General features: G+C 37.6%; 1 protein-coding gene across 15 annotated transcripts in view, besides 1 other annotated feature; it reads left to right on the top strand.

Annotated features, from left to right (window-relative positions):
• SWT1 (SWT1 RNA endoribonuclease homolog) overlaps nucleotides 1-14,218 on the top strand; it is a 134,722-nt gene that overhangs the window by 96,081 nt on the left and 24,423 nt on the right. For 2 of the 15 annotated variants that reach the window (XM_047423246.1, XM_017001528.3), the window contains exon 17: nucleotides 13,876-13,982. The exons of 11 other annotated variants lie outside the window; for them this stretch is intronic. In XM_047423246.1, the coding sequence (XP_047279202.1) occupies nucleotides 13,876-13,982 (107 nt within the window). Of the gene's footprint in view, nucleotides 1-11,174; nucleotides 11,943-13,875; nucleotides 13,983-14,218 lie in introns of those variants that run through there. 2 more of the 15 variants (XM_017001530.3, XM_047423249.1) reach the window with 1 other exon arrangement.
• Nucleotides 3,754-4,364: an enhancer, noted in NCBI's record as "NANOG-H3K27ac-H3K4me1 hESC enhancer chr1:185226026-185226636 (GRCh37/hg19 assembly coordinates)". NCBI's record gives its function as "activates a minimal SCP1, AML or CMV promoter by ChIP-STARR-seq in primed H9 embryonic stem cells {active_cell/tissue: H9 hESC(primed)}" and the evidence as "EXISTENCE:reporter gene assay evidence [ECO:0000049][PMID:30033119]".

The following is a 14,218-nucleotide window of genomic DNA, read 5'->3' on the forward strand; positions in this document are numbered from 1 at the left end:
TATCTCTGTTTTGGTACCAGTACCATGCTGTTTTGGTTACTGTAGCCTTGTAGTATAGTTTGAAGTCAGGTAGCGTGATACCTCCAGCTTTGTTCTTTTGGCTTAGGATTGACTTGGCAATGCAGGCTCTTTTTTGGTTCCATATGAACTTTAAAGTAGTTTTTTCCAATTCTGTGAAGAAAGGCATTGGTAGCTTGATGGGGATGGCATTGAATCTGTAAATTACCTTGGGCAGTATGGCCATTTTCACAATATTGATTCTTCCTATCCATGAGCATGGAATGTTCTTCCATTTGTTTGTATCCTCTTTTATTTCCTTGAGCAGTGGTTTGTAGTTCTCCTTGAAGAGGTCCTTCACATCCCTTGTAAGTTGGATTCCTAGGTATTTTATTCTCTTTGAAGCAATTGTGAATGGGAGTTCACTCATGATTTGGCTCTCTGTTTGTTGTTGGTGTATAAGAATGCTTGTGATTTTTGTACATTGATTTTGTATCCTGAGACTTTGCTGAAGTTGCTTATCCGCTTAAGGAGATTTTCGGCTGAGACGATGGGGTTTTCTAGATATACAATCATGTCATCTGCAAACAGGGACAATTTGACTTCTCTTTTCCTAATTGAATACCTTTTATTTCCTTCTCCTGCCTAATTGCCCTGGCCAGAACTTCCAACACCATGTTGAATAGGAGTGGTGAGAGAGGGCATCCCTGTCTTGTGCCAATTTTCAAAGGGAATGCTTCCAGTTTTTGTCCATTCAGTATGATATTGGCTGTGGGTTTGTCATAGATAGCTCTTATTATTTTGAAATATGTCCCATCAATACCTAATTTATTGAGAGTTTTTAGCATGAAGGGTTGTTGAATTTTGTCAAAGGCTTTTTCTGCATCTATTGAGATAATCATGTGGTTTTTGTCTTTGGCTCTGTTTATATGCTGGATTACATTTATTGATTTGCGTATATTGAACCAGCCTTGCATCCCAGGGATGAAGCCCACTTGATCATGGTGGATAAGCTTTTTGATGTGCTGCTGGATTCGTTTTGCCAGTATTTTATTGAGGATTTTTGCATCAATGTTCATCAAGGATATTGGTCTAAAATTCTCTTTTTTTGTTGTGTCTCTGCCTGGCTTTGGTATCAGAATGATGCTGGCCTCATAAAAAGAGTTAGGGAGGATTCCCTCTTTTTCTATTGATTGGAATAGTTTCAGAAGGAATGGTACCAGTTCCTCCTTGTACCTCTGGTAGAATTCGGCTGTGAATCCATCTGGTCCTGGACTCCTTTTGGTTGGTAAGCTACTGATTATTGCCACAATTTCAGATCCTGTTATTGGTCTATTCAGAGATTCAACTTCTTCCTGGTTTAGTCTTGGGAGAGTGTATGTGTCGAGGAATTTATCCATTTCTTCTAGATTTTCTAGTTTATTTGCGTAGAGGTGTTTGTAGTATTCTCTGATGGTAGTTTGTATTTCTGTGGGATTGGTGGTGATATCCCCTTTATCATTTTTTATTGTGTCTATTTGATTCTTCTTTCTTTTTTTCTTTATTAGTCTTGCTAGCAGTCTATCAATTTTGTTGATCCTTTCAAAAAACCAGCTCCTGGATTCATTAATTTTTTGAAGGGTTTTTTGTGTCTCTATTTCCTTCAGTTCTGCTCTGATTTTAGTTATTTCTTGCCTTCTGCTAGCTTTTGAATGTGTTTGCTCTTGCTTTTCTAGTTCTTTTAATTGTGATGTTAGGGTGTCAGTTTTGGATCTTTCCTGCTTTCTCTTGTGGGCATTTAATGCTATAAAATTCCCTCTACACACTGCGTTGAATGCGTCCCAGAGATTCTGGTATGTTGTGTCTTTGTTCTCGTTGGTTTCAAAGAACATCTTTATTTCTGCCTTCATTTCGTTATGTACCCAGTAGTCATTCAGGAGCAGGTTGTTCAGTTTCCATGTAGTTGAGGGGTTTTGAGTGAGTTTCTTAATCCTGAGTTCTAGTTTGATTGCACTGTGGTCTGAGAGACAGTTTGTTATAATTTCTGTTCTTTTACATCTGTTGAGGAGAGCTTTACTTCCAAGTATGTGGTCAGTTTTGGAATAGGTGTGGTGTGGTGCTGAAAAAAATGTATATTCTGTTGATTTGGGGTGGAGAGTTCTGTAGATGTCTATTAGGTCCACTTGGTGCAGAGCTGAGTTCAATTCCTGGGTATCCTTGTTGACTTTCTGTCACGTTGATCTGTCTAATGTTGACAGTGGGGTGTTAAAATCTCCCATTATTAATGTGTGGGAGTCTAAGTCTCTTTGTAGGTCACTCAGGACTTGCTTTATGAATCTTGGTGCTCCTGTATTGGGTGCATATATATTTAGGATAGTTAGCTCTTCTTGTTGAATTGATCCCTTTACCATTATGTAATGGCCTTCTTTGTCTCTTTTGATCTTTGTTGGTTTAAAGTCTGTTTTATCAGAGACTAGGATTGCAACCCCTGCCTTTTTTTGTTTTCCATTTGCTTGGTAGATCTTCCTCCATCCTTTTATTTTGAGCCTATGTGTGTCTCTGCACGTGAGATGGGTTTCCTGAATACAGCACACTGATGGGTCTTGACTCTTTATCCAATTTGCCAGTCTGTGTCTTTTAATTGGAGCATTTAGTCCATTTACGTTTAAAGTTAATATTGTTATGTGTGAATTTGACCCTGTCATTATGATGTTAGCTGGTGATTTTGCTCATTAGTTGATGCAGTTTCTTCCTAGTCTTGATGGTCTTTACATTTTGGCATGATTTTGCAGCGGCTGGTACCGGTTGTTCGTTTCCATGTTTAGCGCTTCCTTCAGGAGCTCTTTTAGGGCAGGCCTGGTGATGACAAAATCTCTCAGCATTTGCTTGTCTGTAAAGTATTTTATTTCTCCTTCGCTTATGAAGCTTAGTTTGGCTGGATATGAAATTCTGGGTTGAAAATTCTTTTCTTTAAGAATGTTGAATATTGGCCCCCACTCTCTTCTGGCTTGTAGGGTTTCTGCCGAGAGATCCGCTGTTAGTCTGATGGGCTTCCCTTTGTGGGTAACCCGACCTTTCTCTCTGGCTGCCCTTAACATTTTTTCCTTCATTTCAAGTTTGGTGAATCTGACAATTATGTGTCTTGGAGTTGCTCTTCTCGAGGAGTATCTTTGTGGCATTCTCTGTATTTCCTGAATCTGAATGTTGGCCTGCCTTGCTAGATTGGGGAAGTTCTCCTGGATAATATCCTGCAGAGTGTTTTCCAACTTGGTTCCATTCTCCCCATCACTTTCAGGTACACCAATCAGACGTAGATTTGGTCTTTTCACATAGTCCCATATTTCCTGGAGGCTTTGCTCATTTCTTTTTATTCTTTTTTCTCTAAACTTGCCTTCTCGCTTCATTTCATTCATTTCATCTTCCATTGCTGATACCCTTTCTTCCAGTTGATCGCATTGGCTCCTGAGGCTTCTGCATTCTTCACGTAGTTCTCGAGCCTTGGTTTTCAGCTCCATCAGCTCCTTTAAGCACTTCTCTGTATTGGTTATTCTAGTTATACATTCTTTTAAATTTTTTTCAAAGTTTTCAACTTCTTTGCCTTTGGTTTGAATGTCCTCCCGTAGCTCAGAGTAATTTGATCGTCTGAAGCGTTCTTTTCTCAGCTCGTCAAAGTCATTCTCCATCCAGCTTTGTTCCATTGCTGGTGAGGAACTGCGTTCCTTTGGAAGAGGAGAGGTGCTCTGCTTTTTAGAGTTTCCAGTTTTTCTGTTCTGTTTTTTCCCCATCTTTGTGGTTTTATTTACTTTTGGTCTTTGATGATGGTGATGTACAGATGGGTTTTTGATGTGGCTGTCCTTTCTGCTTGTTAGTTTTCCTTCTAACAGACAGGACCCTCAGCTTCAGGTGTGTTGGAATACCCTGCCGTGTGAGGTGTCAGTGTGCCCCTGCTGGGGGGTGCCTCCCAGTTAGGCTGCTCGGGGGTCAGGTGTCAGGGACCCACTTGAGGAGGCAGTCTGCCCGTTCTCATATCTCCAGCTGTGTGCTGGGAGAACCACTGCTCTCTTCAAAGCTGTCAGACAGGGACATTTAAGTCTGCAGAGGTTACTGCTGTCTTTTTGTTTGTCTGTGCCCTGCCCCCAGAGGTGGAGCCTACAGAGGCAGGCAGGCCTCCTTGAGCTGTGGTGGGCTCCACCCAGTTCGAGCTTCCTGGCTGCTTTGTTTACCTAAGCAAGCCTGGGCAATGGAGGGCGCCCCTCCCCCAGCCTCGCTGCCGCCTTGCAGTTTGATCTCAGACTGCTGTGCTAGCAATCAGCGAGACTCCGTGGGCGTAGGACCCTCCGAGCCAGGTGCGGGATATAATCTCGTGGTGCGCCGTTTTTTAAGCCGGTCGGAAAAGCGCAGTATTCGGGTGGGAGTGACCCGATTTTCCAGGCGCGTCTGTCACCCCTTTCTTTGACTCGGAAAGGGAACTCCCTGACCCCTTGCGCTTCCCAAGTGAGGCAATGCCTCGCCCTGCTTCGGCTCGCACATGGTGCGCGCACCCACTGACCTGTGCCCACTGTCTGGCACTCCCTAGTGAGATGAACCTGGTATCTCAGATGGAAATGCAGAAATCACCGCCTTCTGCGTCGCTCACGCTGGTAGCTGTAGACCAGAGCTGTTCCTATTCGGCCATCTTGGCTCCTGTCCAATTTATATATTTTTTATTGTGATTATTGGTATATTGTATTTGGACTAATTTCTATCATTTAAAAAATCTTTCCTCTTGTTTTTGTTTTATTATTTTATTTTTTTTTAAGTCCAGTCAAGTGAAGCAGTGGGAGTGGAGAAAGAACAAAGAAATCTGTTGTAACTGGTTGTGGTCAATTAGTTGTAAATGCCACTACACTTGGATCAGCCTGTCTTTCCTCTTTATCATACTTTTTCTTTGTTCTTTTTGCCTTTTATTGGATTGGGCAAGACATACTGTTGTTAGTTTTTCTAATTCTCCTTTTTATCTCTCTACTAGTTCGGAGGTTGTACCTTTTATTTCTATTTCATTATTATTGTTATTCTTAACGTAATAAATGTGTACTTGATTTATAAAGTCTGAAGTGTCAGTATTATTCAGATCCTGAATATAGCAAGGATCTTAGAACACTTTGAGTTCTGATCTCCATCCTCTCATCTTTCCTCTCCTTATTTTCTAACATTATATAATGTTCCATGTTGTTTTAAATCACCACTCCAAATTATTTGTTACTATATAACACAGTTTTTGTTGTGTTTAGCTTTATCATGCTTATTTATCATGCTTTATTAGTTTTTTAAAAATTTCCATTGCTTCCTTCATTTTACTCATTTTCTGGGATTCAGCTTTCTATTTAATGAAGCAAAATTTTAGTAGTTCTTTCAGTGAAGATCTTTTAATGGTAAATATACTGACGTGTTTTTATTTTGCTTTCATTCTTGATTGATAATTTTGCTGGCTATGGATTCTAGATTGACTATTATTTTCCCTAAGTAGTTTGAAAATATAATTTTATTATCTTCTGTCCTCTTGGAAATGGGAAGTCTGCTGTCAACATGTTGCTTTTTTTGCTAGCTAATGCCTTTTTTTTCTCCTGAATGCTTTCAAGATTTTTCTCTGTATGTTTTGTGTTTACAATTCTATCATAATATATCTGGGTATGGATTTTGTTTTGCTTATCTCTCTTGAGATGTGGTATGCTTTTTTCAGTCTGAAGACATATCTTCAGTTCTGGAAATTCTCACTCCTCACCTCTCCAAATAGTGCCTCTCTACCATTCTCCTTAGTTCTCTTATATGGAATTCCTATTCCTGGCTCTCGTCATTCTATCAGCCATATCTCTTGACTGTTATTTTATTTTTTCCATCTCTTTTATTCTTTGATGTTGCCTTCTGAATAATTTCCTCAGACTTATTTTCTGATTCACTAAATCTCTTCCCAATTAAAATTTTTTGATCACTTAAAATGTACATAATACCTTTATGTTACTTTAAAATAAAAGGTGAAAGTTTTTCTTTTCACCCTTTTTACCTCAACTCCCTGTTCTCCTCCTCAAAGTCAGCCAATATTAATCAATTTCGTGTGCTGCCTTTCTCTTGTTTATGTTAACTGTTTTAAAGACAGACTGGCCTGGAAGCTCTTTAATGGAAAGAACTATTTTGCTTTTTGATATATTGCCATCTCTCATAGGAGTTAACATACAATCAGCAATCAATAGGTGCAGGAATAAATAGAGAGGAAGAAACTACGTGGTCATTTGAATCTTCATACCATAATTGCATAGTCATAGGTACAGAGTTTAGTCCCCAGATTTGCAAGTTTAGGAATTTTATTTTACCAGTTTACTGAGAACTTAGATTCACAATAATCAGATTTGAACAAAATGAGGCTGATACATCAGAATGCCCACTTACTTTTATGTTGAGATCAGTAACTGTCAACTGAATCAAAATATTTATAAATTGAGTGACTCCTAGAGGGAAATTTACACTGCAAACTAGATTACTATCAAAGTTTTCTTGCTGACTCCTGGGGACATTGACCTTAAGCTAAAGTACTCTCTTTTCTACTCTAAAGCTTTATTTGCCAAATAGGGCAGACTTTTCCCTCTATAGGGAAATTCTTGTTCTTGAATCCCTTTATCTGTTTAGACCACTTACTTCTTGTCAATTATGTCAGCATAATAAAGTTATCTAAAAATACTGAAACACAATTGGACAGATTTCAAGATTATTTATAGTACTTACATTACATTCATATTTCCCTAAAGAGAGATACCCTGATGACCTTGATTAGAACTGGATGGTCACTAAGGTTCTATCAGCAGTACGTTTGCAAACCATCTCTTAGGGTGGGTATTAATCTAATCTGTTATATAGCAAGAGTCATGGGTGAGTACTTTAGAAATGCCTTGGAACTCACAAAGCATACTTGTTATTTTTAAGCTTAGGATGGGAAAGGAAAACAATGGTTATTTATTTTAGAGGATGAGTGCACATGATGGCTTAGGTGGTACCAAATAGATAAGGGAAATCATCCTTAAGCCCAAGGGGCAACTGTGATGCCAGAAATTTGAGGTAAAAACCAGGAAGGAGTCTAGAAAACACTGGAAAGGATTGGAGAACAAAGGATAAGGGTAGGTACAGGATGAGAGAACCCAAGACATTTATCTTTAAATGGTGCTAGAGTACTCATGCTTTTCTTTTACTGGTCAATGGCTGTGCAGTGTAGATAAATTAGTCCAGTTTAATACTACAGAACTGTAAATGAGGATTGAAGAGGAGGAGCAGAAGGAAATGTTCATAAGACTAGCATCACAAATGTCAAGGAAGGAATAAGTTCCAAAAGAAAATGAATCTTTAACATCATCATGCTACTACTGAGAGGCCAAATAAGATATGGTTTAAAAGTGTCCATTAGATTGAAAAGCACAGAAGTCATTGGTGAATTTGGCGGTGGCAGTTTCATGAGAATGTTGGGGCAAATGTTAGATAGTAGGCTAAGGAGTGACTTGGAGGTAAGGAAGTAAAAATAGTAAAAGAATGTAATTGTAGCTAGAGGAGATCACAAGGTCAAGTGAAAGGGTTGTGTTTATGAATATGTGTATTAGACTTCCTTGGAAAAACAAAGAGTCAAGTCAGTAGTATAAATGTTTCTTAGATTATACATGAAAAGATAAAACCATTCATAATAATATAAATACCAGAGCAAAAGTGATTCTGTAATAATCACATGACACATGACAAATAATGACACATGAAATTTTTCTTGACTCTTTCCCCACAGTAATTCTACAAAGTCTTTGGTTCCTCAAAAACCTCCTTATTTTTTTGATCACGGTTTTCCTTCCTTAAAATAATGTTAATATTTAAAATTTTTAATTGTGGGAAAATGCATATAACTTACAGTTTATCTTCTTAACCATTTTTAAGTATACGGTTTAGTGGCATTGAGAACATTCCTGCTCTTGTGCTGCTGTCACCACTATCTATCCACAGAATTCTTTTCATCTCGTAAAACTGAAACTCTGTACCCATTATATTAACTCCCCAGTTTTCCATCCCCTTCAGCCCTTGACAACCACCTGAATTTGACTACTTTAGGTACCTAATATGAGTAAAATCATACACTATTTGTCCTTTTGTGACTGGCTTATTACACTTAGTGTAATGTTTTAAATATTCATCTATGTTGTGGCATGTGTCAGAATTTCCTTCCTTTTTAAAGCATAATATATTCCATTATATGTGTATACCACATTTTTCCCCATTCATGCATCAGTGGACCCTTAGTTTGCTTCCACCCCTTGGCTATTGTGAATAATGCTGCTATGAACATGGATGAACAAATACCTATTTGAGTCTTTGCTTTTAATTTTTTAGGTGTATAGCCAGAAGTACACTGGACCGTATGGTAATCCTATTTTTAATATTGTCAGGAACTACCATACTGTTTTTCATCACAGCTGGCTGTACATTTTAATTCCCAACAAGAGTGCACAAGGGTTCCAATTTCTCCACATCCTCACCAATGCCTGTGATTTTCTGCTTTTTTTTTTTTTTTAAATAGTAGTCATCCTAATGGATTTTGGGGTAGTATGTTGTGATTTGGTTTGTCCTGTTTTTATTAAAAGTCTAATATACAAAACTGTGCACTTTCAAAGTTGATCAATTAAATGTGTATAATAAAAGGATTTTTCTTATGCTTCAAAGTTTTTTTCCTCAAGGTTCTTATAAATAGAGCATTTCTTTAATGTTGTTGATCTATTGTCAAAAGTCTCTGCATCTAGTGAGGTATGCTTGTAATGAGGCAGTAATAGGCTTGTGTCTCAGCCTTGATTGGGTATATTGAGATCTTAATGGCAGTATGAGTAAATGGTGGGAGGATACGATCTTTTGTTTCTTTTACTCTCAGCTCTTCAGTTGCTCCTTCCTTGTTAACGAGAGTGATCCTATTTGTCATATTACAGTGGAAAAATAGTAGATACCTGATAGTGAGGTAAGATTAATCAGTTGGAGAAGAACATTCATAAAGTATTTGGAGAATCATTAGGTATTGTGTAGATTTAGCTGGCAGTATCTGGTTTCATAGAGGGCACAGGATTCATTGAGGACCTGTTTGAACCTCACAGGAGCCTCACTAAGTAGAAAAATGAACCCGTTTGTCATACTTGTTTCTGGCTCCCTTTAGTACATTGTTAACCCTGATCATAGAACTGGCCTCCAGCAGTACCAGCATCCCAAGTACTAAGATTATCATCCAAGGAAGCATAATGCTAGAAAGCAAAGCAAAGAAAGTATTTAACAACTAACTACTCAGTGAATTCCACATCATTCCCATATTCTGGGGAATGTTCCATCTTGCTTCTAATCATGAGGTACATGGCTCCCCAAAGCTGGGCCACCAGTATCTGTGGATGGCAGCTGAATGTTAGTTAGCTAGAGCCACCATAACAAAATACCACAGACTGAGTGGCTTAAACAACAGATGTTTTATTTTCTTATAGTTCTAGAAACTGAAGTCCAGGATCAAGGTGCTGGCAGGGTTGGTTTCCTCTGAGGCCTCCCTCCTTAGCTTGTGCTTGTGTGCTTGGCTGACTCTTCATGTGATTGTTCTGTGCACATGTATCCTTGGTGTCACTTTGTCCAAATTTCTTCTTTCTTTTTTTTTTTTTTTTTGAGAGAGGGTCTCACTCCCTGTGCCCAGGCTGGAGTGCAGTGGCATGATCTTGGCTCACTGCAGCCTCAACCTCCCCAAGCTCAGGTGATTCTCCTACCTCAGCCTCCTGAGTAGCTGGGAATACAGGCGTGTGCCGTCATCCTGGGTGATTTTTGTATTTTTTGTAGAGACGGGGTTTCACCATGTTGCCCAGGCTGGTCTGGAACTCCTGGGCTCAAGTGATTCACCCGCCTCAGCCTTCTGAAGTGCTGGCATTACAGGCATGAGCCATGGTGCCAGCCCCAAATTTTCTCTTCTTATTAGGACACTATTCAGATTGTATTAGGGCTCATGCCAATGGCTTCATTTACTCTAAATTACCTCTTTAAAGCCCTTATCTCCTAATATATCCACATTCTGCAGTACTGGAGGTTAGGGCTTCAACATACACATTTTTGGAGAACACAATTCACCCCATAACAACAGCCAATACCCAGTAACAAAAAAAAAAGTGCTGGATTTGAGGAAACTCAGAGTGTTGTGATGAACTCTTGGGGTGCACTGTGGTTGGTGTTTTTCAGAATTTCCTGAATAATGAAGTTAGGATCCCATGGTCCCCCGGCCTAACTTTACCAGCTCATCTCAGATCACTTTGCCAAAAATGTCTCTTTAGTCATGAATGAGGATCCATCCATTGCTTGGCTAGTATATCACAGAAGAGGCTTGAAAACACCTTATCTACACGGACTCACTAGCTAAGATAAGAATATGCTGTTTTGTAGACAGAGTTTTAAAATTTTTTGAAGGTGGTTTCAACTGAACACTAAACCTAATTAACGAGATGGATTTTTGATAACACAAGCTGTCTTTTCATCAGTCAGAGATTTTCAGATATTTCCAGTCCACTTCTCATGACTTTTCTAACAATAAATTGTGGCATTGATTTCAGCTCCCATAGATTGACCCAAAGTCACATAAAGATGAAACTGGGACTAGAATTTTACATCTTTTACCCTGGCAGAAGATTGTATTAGGGCCCATGCCAATGGCTTCATTTACTCTAAATTACCTCTGTAAAGCCCTTATCTCCAAATATATCCATATCCTGGGGTACTGGAGATAAGGGCTTCAACATATTGATATTGGAGGAACACACTTCAGTCCATAACAACAGCCACTATCACAACTAAGCAAATTTCAGTAATATGGCTGCAGCTGATTATCAGAATATCACCTTTTACTTCTGAGTGTGCTCCTGGATTCTGGTAATGTGAAACGGTCTCTCCTCATTTAGTTGGTAGCCAGTGGGTAGGGCATAGTCCCTGTGTTCCCTCCTGTCCAGAAAATATTTTACAGACTGGGTTCTCTACTAATAACAATCATGGTTTTGTTCACATTTGGCGCCTCTTTTTTTTTTTAACCTTATTTACAATAATCAATAGGGATGAAAAGTGTAGTTAAGTATATAGTAGACATCTTTTGCTTTTCATTTTTCTTGATTTCTCCTATTGATGTTTATTGTCAATATCAGGACTAAGGAGAGAAGACCATTACCGTTCATATGGATGACATAAAAGTTCACTGCTGGAGATGCCTTATGAGAAGAGAACAAGTCCCCAAACAGCTTGAATTGAATGTTCATTTGGTTCCTAGTTGACAAGCTATGTGATAATTTGTGGTGTTTTCAAAGATAAGAAATAGAATAATAATAGTAGTAGCTAATATTTTATTGGGCCAAGAATTTTTCCAAGTATGTTACCTATGTTAACTCATTTAATCATCTTAATATGCCTGTGACATAAGTACTATTGTTGTCCCTGTTTTACAAATGAGAAACTAAACATAGAGAGGTAAAATAAGTTATCTGATATCACTTAGCTGGAAAGCGGTAAACCTCTTATTTGAACTCTGGCTGGCTGACTCCAGAGAGACTGTGATCACAACCATTATATTATTATGTTTCAATGCTAATGAAGAAAATACAGGAGAGGAGTAGGCTGGTGACCCAAGATAAAAGACAGGATTAGTTGAAAATTTTATGGTGTAGATTGTGTTTTAATCCTTCTGCAAAATTAACAGAAAGCTGTAGTATTTATTAGTATATTCTAATTGTATGTATGTTTATGTCTAACAAACATGTAAGACATATAATCTATTCTTTTAACAATCAAAATGATATTTTCCTACTCTAGAATTGCTTTAAGTTAAATCTGAAACATAGTCATTAAAATTACCTATAAACTCTTCCTATTCCCACCACCAACTTAAAAAATAAAAGATTTCTAGTATTCTGAATAGATCAAATTTTAATTCTGAACTTTGTCCAAACTTTTATCAAAAGTTTTTATGTTTAATAGTTATATGTAATTAGTATAGTTAACCTATATGTATTTATTATAGTGAGCTTGCAAATTTTTATCTCTGAAGGGAAAATAGGAACATAAAATTTTAGCAATTAATTTTGCTTAAATTGTTTAATTGTTCTTTCACCATTTTAACTATATATGGCATTTTTTTCAAAATCTAGGACTGATGGCTAGCTCTCATTTGCATAGCTGATTTTCCAAATTAACTATAGAAAACGTATAATTTTAGTTTTACTTGTAATAAATAATCCCCCCCAAACGTGCTCTAAGATCCAAGACTTTTTTTCCTTAGTGTTTCCTCATTGTGGATTTGATACATTTTCACCGAGTTTATCAATAACATAACTTAAATTCATCATCAGCAAAATCCAATTTGATAATATCGTTCAGACATGTCACTGTATTAAAATGAGAAGCACAGAGCTTTGAGCCTCCAGAGTGGTCTGAAGTTGAATTCTGCTTCCATCCATTCACCAGCTTTGTTACCTAGATAGGTTAATTAGCCTTTTTTGTGTTTGTTTCCTAATATGGAGTTAAAACAGTTGCTTTATTAAGCTATAGAGATCAAAGGAGATAGCATTTATTCAGTCCCTTGTATTTAGTGGATGCTCGATAAATGATTTTGTTATCCTCAATAACAATGTAAGTGGTTCATAATATTTAAACCTTGACTCATTTATTAGCTATAGAGAATATAAAAGTGAATTTTTAATATAATATTATAAACATTTCCACTTCTTGCAATTCCTTTTAAAACTTTTTTTCACACTCTCTACAACTGTTTTAAATATTATATTAATATAAAACATTGTCTTGCCAGAAGGGACCACAATTTATTCAGTTCTGTGGGTTGTAAGTCATTATTTATAAATATCCAAGAACATATTTAAGTGTTTTGAATTTCTAGAATTTAAATTTTATTTTTTTTTTCTGAGATGGAGTCTCGCTCAGTTGCCCAGGCTGGAGTGCAGTGGCGCCATCTTGGCTCACTGCAAGCTCCGCCTGCCGGGTTCACGCCATTCTCCTGCCTCAGCCTCCTGAATAGCTGGGACTACAGGCGCCCGCCACCACGCCCAGCTAATTTTTTTGTATTTTTAGTAGACACGGGGTTTCACCGTGTTAGCCAGGATGGTCTCGATCTCCTGACCTCGTGATCTGCCCGCCTTGGCCTCCCAAAGTGCTGGGATTACAGGCGTGAGCCACCGTGCCCAGCCTTAGAATTAAATATTAAACTGGAATATTTTAGATTTCTTTCCTTGTTCCTGAATCTGCAACTTTATTTTTCCTAAATAGGAGATAAGTTTTATTTGAATTTTTAAAATTCAAATTGAAAATTTAGTCCATTTTAATTCATCATTTAAAAATTTCATCAGATTATTCTGTTTTGTCTCTAAAAACTTGAGTGGCGGTTTATCACAACCAGTTACAGATTTCTTTGTTCCTTCTCCACTCCCACTGCTTCCTTTGACTGGCATTTGGGGGAAAATTTTTTTTTAAACCTTGAGTGGCATGGTCTTTTTTTTTTTTTCTTAAAGAGATATATTGATTTGTATTTACTATTGAGCTATATAGAAATGAAATTTGTTTAATTCAGATTAATATTAATGCTAATTGTTCATGGATAAATAGAATACTGAGAGTGCCTATGTGACTGAGTCAGGGCCGCTAGTGAGTGTCAGTTCTGTTAACCAACTTGCTTTGTGGCTCTGATAAAGATAAAACAACTACATTAGTGTTTGAACGTACATGAAATAATTTGCCAGAAGCATTTGATAAAAGACAGCTTTTTTTTTGCTTACATATAAAAGCAATAGTTTAACTGTTTTAAATGGACTATTTCATTTGATTTTGTAAAATAATTTAAAGGCAAGAAGATGGTAGTGGTTGTCCTTTTATTGGTGGGAAAAATATGAGTTCCAGAATCAAACCCAAAGAGATTTGGATACCTACCACCACTCACTGTGTAATCTTAGGCAAGTATCTTAAAACATTGGACTTTGGTTTCTACATCTGAAAAGTGGTTATTATATAACAGCTAATATTTATTGAGCATGTACCGTGTGCCCTATGTTGTGCTAAACACTGTAGATGCATTACTTAATTCGAACGGTAACTTTATGAGGTTAACGCTGCTTTATCCCCATTTCACAGGTAAGGAGCTGAGATACAGAGAAGTAGGCAACTTGATCAAGGTCGCAAAACCGAATTT

The sequence above is a fragment of the Homo sapiens genome, chromosome 1 (assembly GCF_000001405.40).
Source record: "Homo sapiens chromosome 1, GRCh38.p14 Primary Assembly".
NCBI lineage: Eukaryota > Metazoa > Chordata > Mammalia > Primates > Hominidae > Homo > Homo sapiens.